Source organism: Homo sapiens, chromosome 3 (genome assembly GCF_000001405.40).
Source record: "Homo sapiens chromosome 3, GRCh38.p14 Primary Assembly".
Lineage (NCBI taxonomy): Eukaryota > Metazoa > Chordata > Mammalia > Primates > Hominidae > Homo > Homo sapiens.
The window spans coordinates 119,027,111-119,042,883 of NC_000003.12; the positions used below are offsets into that span (position 1 = coordinate 119,027,111).

General features: G+C 39.1%; 1 protein-coding gene across 11 annotated transcripts in view, besides 1 other annotated feature; it reads right to left on the reverse strand.

The window, feature by feature from the left end:
* The window catches only part of IGSF11 (immunoglobulin superfamily member 11), a 245,464-nt gene that overhangs the window by 126,554 nt on the left and 103,137 nt on the right, over window positions 1-15,773 (reverse strand). For 8 of the 11 annotated variants that reach the window (NM_001353324.2, NM_001353321.2, NM_001353323.2 and 5 more), the window contains exon 1: window positions 7,421-7,736. The exons of the other annotated variants lie outside the window; for them this stretch is intronic. In NM_001353324.2, the coding sequence (NP_001340253.1) occupies window positions 7,421-7,472 (52 nt within the window). In that variant the 5' untranslated portion in view covers window positions 7,473-7,736. Of the gene's footprint in view, window positions 1-7,420; window positions 7,737-15,773 lie in introns of those variants that run through there. 11 annotated transcript variants of the gene reach the window in all.
* Window positions 7,657-8,016: a silencer, noted in NCBI's record as "silent region_14624". NCBI's record gives its function as "represses an Ori minimal core promoter by ATAC-STARR-seq in GM12878 lymphoblastoid cells {active_cell/tissue: GM12878}" and the evidence as "EXISTENCE:reporter gene assay evidence [ECO:0000049][PMID:35858748]".

Genomic DNA, 15,773 nt, shown 5'->3' on the forward strand with positions numbered 1-15,773 from the left:
GTGTAACAAAGAGAACCAGTATTTTCCAATGATCAATGCATAGATTTATGAAAACTCATGCATGAGTAAAAGATCCACTCAAAGTACAAGATAAACCAGTGGATTTTAATATAACAAGTAGGAAATGTTCACTGATATGGTTTCTGGTTCCACATTTCAGCCAGTCTTTAAGAAACTACTGCATATCATGTTTTGGTAGAATACCAAAGATGAATATCCAAAATTATCTGAAAATGCTGTCAAAATACTATATATCAGTGTGAGACCAGATATTCTTCACATTTTACACCAAACCAAGATGGGATATCACAATAAATGAGATGCGAAAGCAGACAGGAGAAAGCAGACAGGAGACTGGCTTCTAATAAGCCAGACATTAAAGAAGGTCCCAAAAATGTGAAAGTGCCACTTCTCTCACTAATATTATTCAGCTTTGGGGAAAAAATATGTTACTTGTCATAAAAACATTTATGTCAATGTGTAATGGATGCTTTGTTTCTAAACAGATTAATAGATTCTTTTAAATTTTCTCACTTTTAATTTCTAATACAGTATCAATAGACATAAACCACATAAACTAAAGCTCTTTGCAGTCCTCAATAATCTTTAAAGCCCCAATAATCTTTAAGGCCAGGAAGTTTAAGAATCTTTGCAGTACACTGTTAACCAATTTTTCACATGCCCTGCATACTGTCAAGTCTTGATCAACAAGGCTATCTATATTTACACATGGGCAATATACATAAGTGAACTGTACCAATAAATAAGTACATAAGTGTACTTAACCAATAAAAGCCTAAAATGTTAGTCTGATTTGAATATGTCCTGCAAGAAGTGATGCTTACTACAGTACTGCAGCCTCTGTTTTTGCCATGTATTCTGTGTTCTGGCTAATGATCTTGACCCATGGGAGCTAACAGAAGTTGTATACCTGATAGTCATGAACCTGGCCCAAAGAAAAAAAAGACTAAGTATTAAGCCTTGATGTTTGATGTTATTTAAGCCATCTTTAAGCATATAGTGGAGGATTTATGATTAGTAAATGACTTTTGATATTTTGAGAGATGTATAAATACTGCAGACTGAGAGTGTGGTCCATAAGGGTATAAATCATGGCTGGGATAAACTATGAATGGAAATACATAGACTTCAGGAGGAGAGAAGGGAATAGGAGAAGCAGACAACTGCCAGTCTTGCCAAACTCCCCCAACATAAGGATGATTTATAGTTAATGCTCCTATTTCTAGAAAAGTGTCTCCAGTACTTTGTATATAGTAATGTAGGGAAAAAGAGGGAGGCCTCAGGCTACAAAAGATGTTATTTTAAGTAATTATCTCTCTTCTTGGGAGACTAGTTCTAACATACAGGTCCCTCAGGACTAAGAATACCAGACATGAAAATGGTAAACTTCAAGGTTCTACAGAAATTGCCAAAAGTCCAAGATCATTCCTTACAACATGAAGCAAAGGCTTCAGAATTCCTTAGGAAAAAATATTTCAAATATTTAGGATTAAACATAAGCTAAAAATCAATTTCAAAAGATCTGTAAGGATTAAAATTTTGAATAAACTTCCACAGAAGTTATAAAATTTGAAAAAAAAACTATGAAAATTGATCTCTATCACCTGTTCCACAAAATATTTACCAAGGTGTAAAGATTAGTTGAAGCTGACATAGTCACACCAAATCCCTAAAGAAATTTTTAACAAAAATTTTATTTTTCTTTAAAAAAGAAAATGCACTTAAAGCTAGAGAAATCTGAATAAGCTCTGTGGATTGTACCAACACCAATTTCCTGGTTTTTATTTTGTATTCTGGTTTTTGGGGATGGTAACGTCAGGGGAGGCTGAGTGAAGGGTGTGCATGGGACCACTCTGTACATTTCTTTACAACCTCCCATGAATCTATATTTCAAAATAAAAAGTTTAAAATATGAAAAAAAAAGAAAACAACAGTCTTCTCAGGTGTACCACCTATATTAGTAAACCTTCATTCACAAGTATCTACTGAGCATTACTATAGTGCCCAGCATGGTAGACATGGTACTGCCTTTTGGGGATAATACACACACACACACACACACACACACACACACACACGGTAGACATGGTACTGCCTTTTGGGAATACACACACACACACACACACACACACACACACACACACCCGAGAGAGAGAGAGAATGCGAGAGAGAGAGCGGGCAAGCACAGGAGGAGAAAGGGAATTTTATTATACAGTTAACTTCATTAAACAAGGGGAAAATATTAGCATATAACTATGCCCACACTCCCACATACCCCACCAATGCTCAGCTTCTATGGTGATTTCTGTGTCTGCCTGGTTGGCTCCAGGGTTAATTTTTTGTAAATATCAATCCTTGAAATGGGTAGAGCTGAATAACTGGAAAGAACCAGGACTGGATTTATTACCTTTGAAGAACCTGATGTTACTAGCAGAGGAACGTAACATCTTCCAAAGTGGAACGAGAGGACGACAAGTAAAAAGAAAAAAGAATCATTAAGGGGAATACAGAAGAGAGTGGTTTTATGAGTGTGACTGCTGTGAACAGTGAAACTTTGGGCAAAAGTGAGTATAGGGGTTCTCTAAATTAGGACACTGTTCTGTTTCCATTGTTGGGATCTTCAATAGACTTTGGTAAATATTTAAACTTAAATTTCTAAAAATATTGAACTGATGATTCTTTTAAGACCAGCCTACAAGTGGCCCCAATATATTAGAGTTACATTCACAAAGTCATATTGTATTATTACATATTTGTTACCCTCAGTGAAAAAATGGCATTGACTTTCCAATCCCACAAATCTATTACACTTTAACCACCTATTCCAACCCTAAACCCTGGTACACTACCATTAGTGGCTGCTAACGTTGACCTAATTCTCTGAACATCTTCCCAAGGAACTCTACATGGTATAAGAATTTTCTGAACTCGGTCCTTCTAGGATCTCAGCTTCTTTCCAGGAATCCTTTTCTAAATATAAGTGTCCTCTAATACTGTCAGCTTATATCTCTCTCAAGATCAACAGAGTTAACTGCTAAATGAAAACAAACCAGTAAGTAGACTTTTTCAAGTAACTTTTTATTGAATACACTTTGTCCACAACAGTAAATTTGTATGGGTTTCATCCTATACTCTAAATAAAAATTTTAGTTATACTTATCAAAATATGATTCTTTCTGTAATATATGAGTGAGGCAGACCCATACTGTACCTATATAATATCTGATAAAGGCAATGATGATGCGGTAGATCATTGGCTGAGTCTATTATTTGCAAATTGGAAACCAATTTTCTCTCTGTGGCTTACTTCATATTTCTGCAATTTAAAACCATTACAAATGCAAACTACTACTGTGGTCTTTTTCTTGGGTGGCAGAAAACCAGGTACACAGAAAATTAATTACCCAAATGTTAACAGAAAGAAAAAAAATCCTTCCATGGTTTAGTAAGATAGGCTTAACTAATAAGTAAACTAATTAACTTTCCACTTTTAAGACCAAACTCAGCTCAAATCAGATGGCTTTTTGAATACCACCCAAGAACCAACAACCTCTCTTAAGCCAGTTGCTCACAAAGTATGGTCAAGAGAAGATTTCAGATCCTCCAGATGGTGTGGGGGCAGTTTTCAAAATGCAGGGATGAGATGTGTTAGTGCCAGCTAGCCCTCACCAAACAAAGAAAGTTGAGATGACTGTGTTCACTTGAAGTAAATTAGAAAACAGAAATTCAGCAAACCCTCCCCAAACTGCCTAAAATAATTCAGTGTTGAGAGAGTATAAAAAATTGTCATTAGTCTAGATAACAATAGATGTGGAATCCCTATTCTAAATAAACTAGTTATGGGGCCAGGCACGGTGGCTCAGGCCTGTAATCCCAGCACTTTGGGAGACTGGGGTGAGCAAATCACTTGAGGTCAGGAGTTTGAGACCAGCCTGGCCAACGTGGTGAAACCCCGTCTCTACTAAAAATACAAAAATTAGCCAAGTGTGGTGGTATGCGCCTGTAATCCTGGCTACTCGGGAGGCTGAGGCAGGAGAACTGCTAGAACCCAGGAGTCGGGGATTGCAGTGAGCCAAGATGGCGCCACTGCACTCCAGCCTGGACAACAAAAGCCAGACTCCATCTCAAATAAATAAATAAATAAACAAACTAACTAAGTAGTTATGGATGAAAAGTTTTAGTGGGAAGGCCAGAATTTTCTGAACTTTCTCCCAACTCAGTAAGTACTGCCTGTCCCTTGCTTTGTATTACTCACTGCAACTAAAGAATCTTTTGCACCAGCACATCACCTTGTTTGACACTAAATCACATGGCATAAGTATGAAGACTCAAATGAGAATTTTCATTATAAATCTCTCCACTATGAAAGTGTGAAAACACATTTCAAAATCTGCCACATACTGTCACCTGGGGAGGGGAAGCCAAAACAAGTACTTTTACCCCTTGCATCATTACCTTGTGTCTGACAACAGTTCTAAGCATAACGCTTTTTAAGTGCTTGGTAATTTAATATTTAAATTGCTTCCTGAATAGTCCATGTTGAATATATATGTGTATTAGGCTTAGTATCTCTGAAATTTTCATCCCGTAGCTGTCATCTTTCATGTAGGTCAAACTACAGATTTTTACTAACAGGTGAATCCTTCTAAAACAATTACAGTATGAAATTTAGAGCTGATAAATTGGATTTTACAATAAATTTTTAATAATGGTAACACTGAAAAGGTTCATGACTTTTTTCATTTTCATTGCATTTTATGTGGTCATTTCTTTCTTTTTATACATTTTCTCAAATTCTGAAAAGTTATCTGCTATTTCAAGGAATCACAAGTATGAGAAACACTTTAGTTATATCTAACCCATTAGAAGAACTATATAGAAGTCAGCTTTTCAATTCAAATTCCCTTTGAAGTTACTTCACAAATAAAAACAAAATAACAATAAGAAAACAGAATAAACAGAAATAGAAACAGAAATTTATTAACATCGATTTTCTTTCATTTATTGAAAAGACCCTCTATTTCTACCTTTGGTGTATCATTTCATTGTAGTGGCCACTGCTATTGGTTATTTACCTAGCATCCATTTCCCTTTACCCCTTTGTAATGGAACCAGCTTTGTTCAGATATACACCCCTCCTGCTATTCCACATTGAAAATTCTGGGGATGAGCCATAATTCATTCAAACCAAGTTTGCCCTTGACTAGTTCAAGAATTAAATTCGGTTAGGGCAAGGTATTCTCCTGGAGACAGGTATGCTAGCACAAACAGGCGTGCTAACTGTTCATCCTCTTCCCCGCCCCACAGTAAGGAAACTGAACATCAGTACTTTTTCCATGGCCAGCCGAATAAAGCCCAAACGCAGCATTCAAGATTCTCTACTATCTTGCCCCCAACTACTTTTTGGCTCTTTCTCCCTTGCACACATCTCCTGCTCTAGCAGCTTGGCCTTTCAAGAGTATACCCCTGCCTGTTCCACTTTACATCCTTCCTTCAGGCTGTTCCTTTGGTTAAGAAAGCCCATCCACTCCCATCTGAGCCAATTCATACCCTATTCATTCAATGTCCAGATAAAAAGTAAACTTTTCCAAGAAGTCTTACTTGATACTTACATTAACAAATAGAACTCATCATACATTCCCTGTACCATAAATTATTTGTGCATGCTTACAGCCTGTTTTAAAAATGCAAACTCCTTACGGGCTGCAGACACTCACACGCGTCTTTGTATTCCACCACCACCTTTCCCCACCAGATACTCAAAAGCACAGAGTGATGGCTCTGTAAATATCTGTTGAACAATGAACACTGTTTTTGAAAGTGGAAAATGCCTCTACATAACAGGTTATTGCCAAAACTGAGAAGTCCTTGGAAGTCTTTAAAAACATTTTTCTATGGCTTGGGAATAGTTTTGCTGAAGAAAAAAGAACAAATCAGATGACCTTGCAAGGCTGAGTCTGCGAATTGTATCAACTCTTTTAAAGTACTGCCTAATAATTCAAAAACAAACTATACACAAATGCTATTTACAAAAAGAGGAGCATTTATTATAATATACAACTTTAATAATAGAATGTTCTACCAAAAATTTGAGCTGTTCTTGTAATATTGGTAATATTTAGAGCTGTGTCCAAGGATTGCATAAAAAGCCGATTTACTCTCTTATTTCACACTTAAAAGTAGTAGGACAGAGAGAAAAACTGGCCATCTCAAACTAGTAACAGTACAAGATACTTGGAAGCACAAGTTCATAACATGGACATATTGATGTTATTGTGTGCACATCATCACTAAAAATATACCTACTGAACTCTAGAAAAGTTAATTTTGATGATAACAGCTTCATTAGTTTCTACGGAGAAGACATACAAAAAGTTTTCGTATTCTCTTCTCCCCTATTCAATGAATCTGCACAAGTTAAGTTGGCTAGTATTAGGTTACTTCAAAATCAGTTCGAATAAGGCCATGAAATGACTGGAAACATGCTGGTGTCTCCAGAAAAAAAACAGGGTTAACCACAAAGTTCCAAAATCACTGAACCCGCTTTTTAAATAACATCCTTCAGAAAAAAAATCTCAGTAAATCTCAGCAATAAATGGGACAGAAAACTGGATTCCACAGGAGAATGCACACACAAAAACAAACAGCACTGCATAGGATGAAAATCAGGATCTAAATTAATATGATGGCTATTCACCGAAAATGTAAGAAAGATTAAGCAGAGATTAAAAGCTAAATTTATAAACAGATGTTTTAAAAACCGTTAACAAGAAATTTAAAGACATTTATTTATTTTGTTCTAATATTGTTATATTCTATGTATTGTTGAGAGCCAACTTAAGTCCTTTGGAGATGAAGCTAGAGTGTAAATAAATTCTTGTTTTCGATTGTAGTATAGCACAGTATACAATTAGTTTTAAAATAAAGATCATTTTCGGCCAAAACGTGTATAGGCTTCTAAAAGGTTACGTTAAAGCTATAAAGTTTTCCAAATGATTTTAAAAGCACTTCTAGTTTTCCTAGGGCCGCCTAGTAAAGACAACTGGTTCTAAATACAGTTTCTAACTGGACCAGTGAGTAAGGGAGTTCGTTATCTAAAAAGGATCCTGCATTCCGCAGAGCGCAGCGAGGTGAGAGTCAGGGCCCGGCCTGGGACCGGAGGTAGCCGGACGAGTTTAGTTACCTCTCTGACAAGGAACACCTGGGCTGCGCGGGCGGCAGAAGCAGCCGCTGCAGGTGCGCGCGAGCCTCGGCCGCAGCAACGAACGCCGCCCCTGAGAAAGTTGGACTCCCGACCCTCGGCAAAGCAAGGAGGCTCTTTGCCGTCCCCAAACAGCTTCGCCCCGGGCCCGCCGACCCGGCCTGGCCCCACCGGGAAGAAAGGGCTGGAGCTACTCACCGTGCAGAGAGAGGAGCAGCAAAGGCGCCAGAGGGGAACGCTGAGAAGTCATCCCGGGGCCGCAGGGAGCGCGCCTGCCTCCTACCCGGCTCCCGGTCGCAACAGGAGAGGAGCGGGCGTGAGTCTCCGCGCTCTTGGGGCAGCCTGGTCCTCCCACACCCAGCGCCGGGCCGCTGTTCCCCGCGCAGAGCTGGGACTGTCAGACCCACAGACGAGCCAAGTGCAGCTGCAGCGCCGCCCGGCTCCGCGGACGCTGAGCTGTGACCAGAGGCGTTCCGGGCTCGCCAGCCGTGCCACCCAGCCCTGCCCCAGGACTAGCCGACCCCTCGCGCAGTCCGGGGAGCCACTCCCCCCAACTCACGCCCCGCTACTCCAGCCGCAGCTCGGCTCCTCGCCGCGCCGCCCACTCGCCCCGCTTGGTCTCCAGGGCAACCGCGGCTCCAGCGCGACGCCTGGCGGCCCACCCGCGGAGCAGAGCGCGGCGCGCAGCTGGCGCGGCCCCCGCCACCTGTGCACCGCGCCGCCCGCTCCCCCGCACGCCTCCACCAGCTCCGGGAACCGAGGGGTGGGCGCCCTCCTCGCCGGAGTTAGGGCCCCTCCCTTGGTCTAAACCCCTCCGCAAACAGGTGGTGTCGGCCTGATGCATCCTGGAGAGCTCTAGCAATGACTTTTCCACAGCCTTCCTCTGAGCCTGCAAGAGTCTTTCCTGTTGCAGTTTTCGGATAATTTATATTTGGCTTTTTCACTTTCAGTCCTCTCTTATAAAACCTAAATAATCTGAAAGAACCTGACTCTGGCAGAATTAGGAATTCCTAATTTTACAGTGTTTTGGTTTTGCGCTGTTTCCTGGATGCCTTTTCACCTTTCTTCCTTGAAAAGTGGATAGAGGCTGGACCATGCCCCTAACTCCCCATTCCTATCAGAGAGACTGCCATCTTCTCTTGCCCCTTTTGTAAACCTTATGTCAACTTCTAATATTTTAAGTTTTCCAGCTTAAACGTTAGTGCTTTCTTAAACTGACCTTAAGTATACATGTTAACTAGTGGGGTATGTACATTTATTGTAATCGTTGTTTAGTTGGGTTTTTTGTTTTTGCTTCTTGTTTGTTTGGGTTGGGTGGGGAGAAAGACTTTCCTAGCATCTGAAATTGTTTTACTTAAATATCTACCTACATCTTTTCTTGTAAAACCTATCTTTATTCTCTTATACTGGGCTCTGCTCTTTATTGTACAGCTCATAGTCACTTCCTGCTTCAGCCTCCAAACTGAGCCTTCTAAATTTGAGGACATACCTGCCCAGGGGATGCCAACCCATTTTGGTCAGTTTCTACAGCAGCATAAATTAGGGTTCTCGGAGCCATTCAGAAATTGAGCCCTCATCTGGCAAATACAATCCTCCCAGGGAAACTCAGAAACAAAAATAATATGCACAGAAGAAAAATATGTAAAATATTTTTTAAACATACATTTGGACAAGGATTGGAAGATATATGTAAAATTAAAATATCAAGATGGTGGAGTTATGGATGTACTTCTTTTTGAAAATGTGGATATTATATTTTTAAGGTTAAAAAAATGAAACATGTTAAGAAATGTTAATAACTTTTAACAAGAATATCCTGAAAGGATAAATTTTGATTATGAAGTAGAGATGCCTCAACTTTGCTCACTACTTCCAACTTGCTAGAATTCCCTACCAGATCTCTAATGGCAAGAAATAAATGATATGACAGTAGAGTTTTTCATATTAATAACAAATTTAAATTTCCAACTATGATATCACGAGGCTCATTCTCATTCTTTTAAACTCCAGGGTAAGGACTAGAGTTTCTTTTTTCCATCCAATTCAATCCCTCACCCTCTCTTGTACATATTCCTGCAGTCTAATCCAGTCCTAAGCAGGGTATAAGAGTAAGCAATATAAGAAGAAAAACAAGGAAGCGGTCAAGTGATAGGAGCTACTGAGAGCAACTCTTCATGTCACCATAATCCCAGATATAAATATAGAGGCAGAATATTTATCCTTTAAATAAATATCCTTTAAATAACCTAATAATCTGAGCTTAAAGCTCTGATAAAGCAAGTTATCTGATATATTTATCGCATCAATTTAACAACTATTTACCAAGTACCTACACTTTGTAAGGCACCAGGTTTAAGGTTAAACCAAAAAAAAAAAAATGACCCCTGACCCCAAATAAGTTCCAATTGCATATGGGCTATATCTGTGCTATCATAAATAAGCAGATAGAGTTCTGCCTCTTTGTCACCTAAGGATACTTCTGCCTTGCCAGGCAAGAGCTACTGAGTCATTAAGAGGACAATGCTCACAGTTCAGTAAAGGAGCCCTTTCAATAGAAAAAAAAAAGTGTGGCTTCTGAAGGGAGAGTGAGGATGATCAGATTTCAGGAGGCAATCCAGCTGCTGAGAAGCATGAGGGCAGATGGTAGATGGTGGACCAGAAGAAAGCAGATCAGGAGTACTAGAAGCTCCAAGTGCTGTACACAGAGGCTTCCAAGGACACTCTCCCAGGAAACAAAAAGTGTGGTTTTTAAAAAAATTCATAGAGATAATACCATTGACATATACTTTGAGTAATTTTTTATTAGTAATGATGAGTTTCACCAGCTCTTTTATCCTAATCTGCTTTACGACCACAGAAGGATTTCTTTAAATCCCTTAAGTATTCTGAGTACTAAAGACAGAGACAATATGTTATATTTGTGTAACACTTTACAAATTTCAAAGTGCTTTCACACCTATTATCTGATTTAATCTTCACAGCAAACCCAGGGGGGATGGGTAAGGCATGTATGATGACCCTGTCTTCACACAGGAGGATACTGTGTCTTAAAGCTATCTGAGGGTAACACTGTACTTGCCTCCTAAAGATTTATCCCACCTCTGCCCCACCATGATCACTACCACACCCAGACACCACCTGAGAAGCTATAAAATTTGGATGAGATTGGCCCCACCCTCATCTCTGAGAGAGTTATAGTTGGTCTACCTTACCAAGAAAGAAGTGGAGAGGGGAATGATCAGGATGAGGAATCCTGGTAGAAGACTCTGCTATATGGCACCTTTGACTCAAAAACATTGATGACGTGAAAATAAGTCAACTGCTAAAGTTCACATTTTAATCCTAGGCAGGCTCTCCTCAACCCATCAAAATGCTGGACCACTTCTTTCCACAATCAGTTAATCTGCATTCAAGAATGGAAAATTAACTTTATTATTAGCTTAGGAGGAACATAATTAAGAAAGAAAAATGATGTAGGGAATTATAAGGATTTCCAATGCCAAGTATAAATTATTTTTGAATTAGCTATTTTAAGTTTTTAATACCTCAGATCCCTCTTCATTCATATATATAAATTAAAGGTTAATTGCATTTAAGTTTTGGTCTGTATTTGTCTATGGAGTGTTTTATAAGAACATTATTCTTAAAGTTAGGAAAAACCTGTTTGATCCTTGCTTGAGCCAGTAACTCATTCTGTATATATTTTAACCCAGCTGCTTAGAGCCAGCATATAGTCTAGAGCACAGTTTGGTCCTTTTAGAAGTAAAATTTTAGAGGAATTTTTCTCCCTCCCCCTCCCCCTTTGCAAAATGTCAAGAAAAGCTCTAAAATGACAATAAAGGAATGGGAAACAAAATAGTGGCATCATTACAGTAAGAAAGAAAGTAAACCAACAAGTGTTTATTGTATGTTGACATAAATAGACCACTTAATATTTTAAAACAACACTCTCAAATTTTGGATTAACTCATAACGTAGATATATTGATATCTTGTTGTCTTTCTTACATCTGTTTCTTCCCACTCCTCTGTCAACCATTCCTAGATAGGATTTACAAGGAGCTAAACAGCAATATCCATCCTCCTCCCCATAGCCCAATCCCTATCACTGTTGTGAATATTGTCAAAGTTTCCCATCTTCATCCATTTTGGGAAAAGTTAGCTCTTTTTCTTGAAGCCCTAATTTATTTTTGGGTAAAGTTACTCTCTGAGCAGGGAACATTGTAACGAAATGCTACTGAATTAATTCTAATAGCAAATTTAAAATAATACCACTAGGTTTTTTTAGGACTTGAAAAAGGCAATAGCATAAGTAGCATTTTGTATGTCACCTGAAAAATTTTTGTATTTTCATTTTTATAAGGAATATAATTTTCAAATATTCTGCCAAGTTTCTTTACCAGTTTTCATTAAAGGTAATATGCTTCAGATTAATTCACTTGATTTTATATTGGGGTATAGGAAGTTACCTCAGTATTTTCCAATTCTGAGGTGTTTTCCATAGAAGTTTAATTTAAAGTGCAGTTCAGACTTTCACTTCCAGCAACAAAACAGGTTAGAGACCTTGATTTATTAAAAATGTGAGATTATATATTTTTATAATCTTAAATGAATCCATTGTAATCTTGAATGAATAAAACATGGAAAACTAAAGCCAAAGGCTGCACAAAGGAAGGAATCCATCTACAGTCCATTCTCAACACAGCATCCATGGTGATCCGATGAAGTCAGATCAGGTCTGTCCAAGACCTTCCAATGGCTTCCTGTATCACTCAGGATGAGTCCTTACTGTAAATGACAGGGCCCGTGTTAGTTGTCTATTGCTGCTATAACAAATTACGACAAACTTGGTGGCGTAAAACAACACAAATGTGTTATAGTTCTTGAGGTCAGAAGTCTAAAATGATTCTCAGTAGACTAAAATCAAGGTGTGGACAAGGCTGTGTTCCTTTCTGGAGGTTCCGGGGAGAATCATTTTCTTACCTTTTTCAGATTCTAGAGCCCACCTACTTTCCTTGGCTCATGGTCCCCTTCTTCTATCTTCAAATCCAGCAACATCTGGCCAAGCCCTTCTCACCTCCTTCCACATTTAAGGATCCTCGTGATTACACTGGGCCCACACAGATAATCCAGAATGACCTCATTTCCAGATCAGTTGAACAGCATCCATCAGCAACGTTAATTCCCCTTTGCCATAGGAGGTAATATATTCACAGGTTCTGGGGATTAGGAAGTGGGGAATCCCATTTGTGGGGGGCCCTTATTCTGATTACCACAAGACCCTACTGGATCTAGTCCCCCATTATCTCTCTGACCACATCTTCTGTTTTTCCCCTTAGTCATTCTGCTGTCACCATAATGACCTCCTCAATGTTTCTTGAATAGGCAGGAACATGTTTGCCTCAGGACCACTAAAATTGTTCTTTCCCTACGTTTTTGTATAGCTCTCCTTTCACTTCTTAAGATCTTTTCTCATGTGTCACCTAAGTCGTAACTGACCATTGAAACCACCTTTGCAAAATTATGACGGAGACAGTGAAAGAGATCTAACTTAACCTACTCCATCTTGCTTCTAACCTCCAACCTGTCCTTTTTCATTCCTGGGCGTAGGCTGAACTAACTTTGGGAGAAACTTAGTTTATAGTTTAAACAAAGACGATAACAGCCCTTTCCCAAAGCAGACCTTCTTCTTGCCTGGGGACTAGATTGCCTTTGTAGGACTAACATTAGCCACAAGATTAGAAATTATGGTTTAGGAGTCATGCAGCCAGAGGCTACAAGATTCTGACCCTCCCTAAACTGCTCCTAAGATCAGTGCTTGAGATAGTTTGCAGACCCTGCACAGGATGGATGGATCAGCTGGCACCACCCAGATCAATAAACTGTCTCATTTGATCTTGTGGCCCCCTCCCAGGAAATGACTCAGTGCAAGAAGACAGCTTTGACTCACTATAATTTCATCCCTAACCAATCAGCACTCCTGGCTCACTGGCTTCCCCTCATCCACCAAGTTATCCTTAAAAACTCTGCTCCCTGAATGTCTGGGGAGACTGATTTGAGTAATAATAAAGCTCCAGTCTCCCACACAGCCAGCTCTGCGTGAATTACTCTTTCTCTATTGCAATTCCCCTGTCTTGATGAATTGGCTCTGTTGAGGCAGCAGGCAAGGTGAACCCCTTGGGCAGTTAACATCATCCTTCTAAAATAAAAAATTTAAAAGACATTTTAAAATCCCTCTCCCCGTTGTATTTTTTCTTAGTATTCTGTCATTAACATAGTCAATTATTTTAATAATCTTGTTTGTTTATTGTCTGCTTCACCCAATATGATCTACAAGGACAGGAACTCTATTTTATTCATTGCTGAATTCTCAGTGTCTTTAACAGATCATGACACATGTAGATACTGAATAAATATTTTGAATGGATGAATCAATGAATGAAGCAATTCTCAAGAAATCTGACAGGATTGAAATTATTTACAACACATTCTTTGACCACAATGGTATTAAGGTAGATATCAATAACAAATACACACTTACACACATTTAGATATTACAAAAAGCAATTCTAAATAATTCAAAATCAAGAAATCATAAAGGAAACTAAAGTGTATCTAGAAGAAAATAAAAATATTTTATATTGAAATCTGTAAAATGCAGCTAGAGTATCTATTTGAAGGAAAACTTAAAGCCTCAAATGTTTATAACAGAAAATATGAAAACCTAAACACAAATAAATTACTACTTAGCTTAAGAATTTTGATAAAATAAAATAGGTCTAAAGGAAGTATTAATAGAAGAAAATAATATAGAGGCAAAATCAATAAAATGTTTAACAAATATATAATACAGAAGATTGACACAGTCAAATATTTGCACTTTGAAAATGTTAGTTAACAAAATTCCAGTGACACTAATCAAAATTAAAAATGAGAGAGACCTCAAATAATATCAGAATAAAAATGGTGGCCAGATGTGGTGGCTCACGCCTATAATCTCAGCACTTTGGGAGGCCAAGGCAGGTGGATCACCTGAGGTCAAGAGTTTGAGACCAGCCTGGCCAACATGGTGAAACCCCATCTCTACTAAAAATACAAAAATTAGCCAGATGTGGTAATGCACACCTGTAATCCCAGCTACTACTCTGAAGGCTAAGGTGGGAGAATTGCTTGAACTCAGGAAGGAGAGGTTGCTGTGAGCCGAGATCATGCCACCACACTCCAGCCTGGGCAACAAGCAAGACTCCATCTCAAAAAATAAAAATAAAAAAGAATAAAAAAGGAGACATTACTACATATGCTGCAGATATTTAAAAGAGAAGAAAAATGTGAATAATTTTCTGCCAAAAAATCTGAAAATTTGGAGGAAATGAGCAATATCCTAGAAAAATAGAACTTATCAACATTTGCTCAAAAATAAGCAGAAAACGTGGATAGTCCTGTACAATTAAGGTAATTGAAGCAATAGTTTAAAATCCTTCTAAAAATAAAACTCTAGCTCCAGGTAATTTTATCAGCAGATTTCACCAAATGTTCAGAAAACGAAAACAAACCCAATCTTTTACAACTATGAAAAAATGAAACACTCCACTCATTTTATGATGCTACCATTATACTGCATACCAAATATTGACAAGAATGATAGGAGAAAAGAAAAGAAAATAGGCCAATTTTTCTTATGCAAAGATATGCAAATGAGCATTAGTCCCCTAATATATATATGAGATAATGCATCACACCAATTGGATTTATTTCATGAGAGTAATGTTTAATATTTAACAATCAATGCAATGCACCACACTGAGGTTAAAGGAAAAAAATTAGATGATCATTTTATTAAGTGCCCACTGAAGGCAAAGAAGCCATTCCTGGCCTTATCTGACAGAGGTCCTTGGGGAAGAGAAGGCAGCCAGCAGAATCAGAGAGAGGCCACAGGGTGAAGGAAGCTCATAGTGCACATTGGAGTGCTCAGTGGGCAGGCAGGGAGGGGCGAAGCCTGAGAGCCCTGCTTGTTTTCTCAGCAGGGAGGGTTGTAGCCTTGGGCAAGATCTAAGCCCTGATTGCAGGCTGACTGGATATAAACTCAATATGGTTGCTGGGGCATGGCAGGATTGAGACTGACCTTGCCGGTTATGAGGGAGCTGGGTAAGGCCTGTCACTGCTGGCTTTCCCCCACTTCCCTGGTGACCTGTATGATGCAGCAGAGGCAGCCATAATCCCCCTGGGAACAAAACTCCATTGGCCTGGGAACCACCTCCTACCCCCCACAGTGGTGGCAGCAAGCCCCGTCCAAGAAAAGCCTAAGCTCAGACCTGCCTAACAGTGCCCACACCTGATGGTTTTTCTCTACTCACTCTGGTAGCTGAAGACAAAAGGCATAAGCTCTTGAGAGCTCTATGGCCCTACCCATCACCTGAGAAACCTAAGTACCCATCCTGCCAAATGTAGGGCAAGATTATATACCCCTCCTACTACCTCAGCTGGTGCTCTCTTGAAAACACCACCTCCTGGCTGGAGGCAAACCAACTCAAGCCATTACAGCAACTCATAAC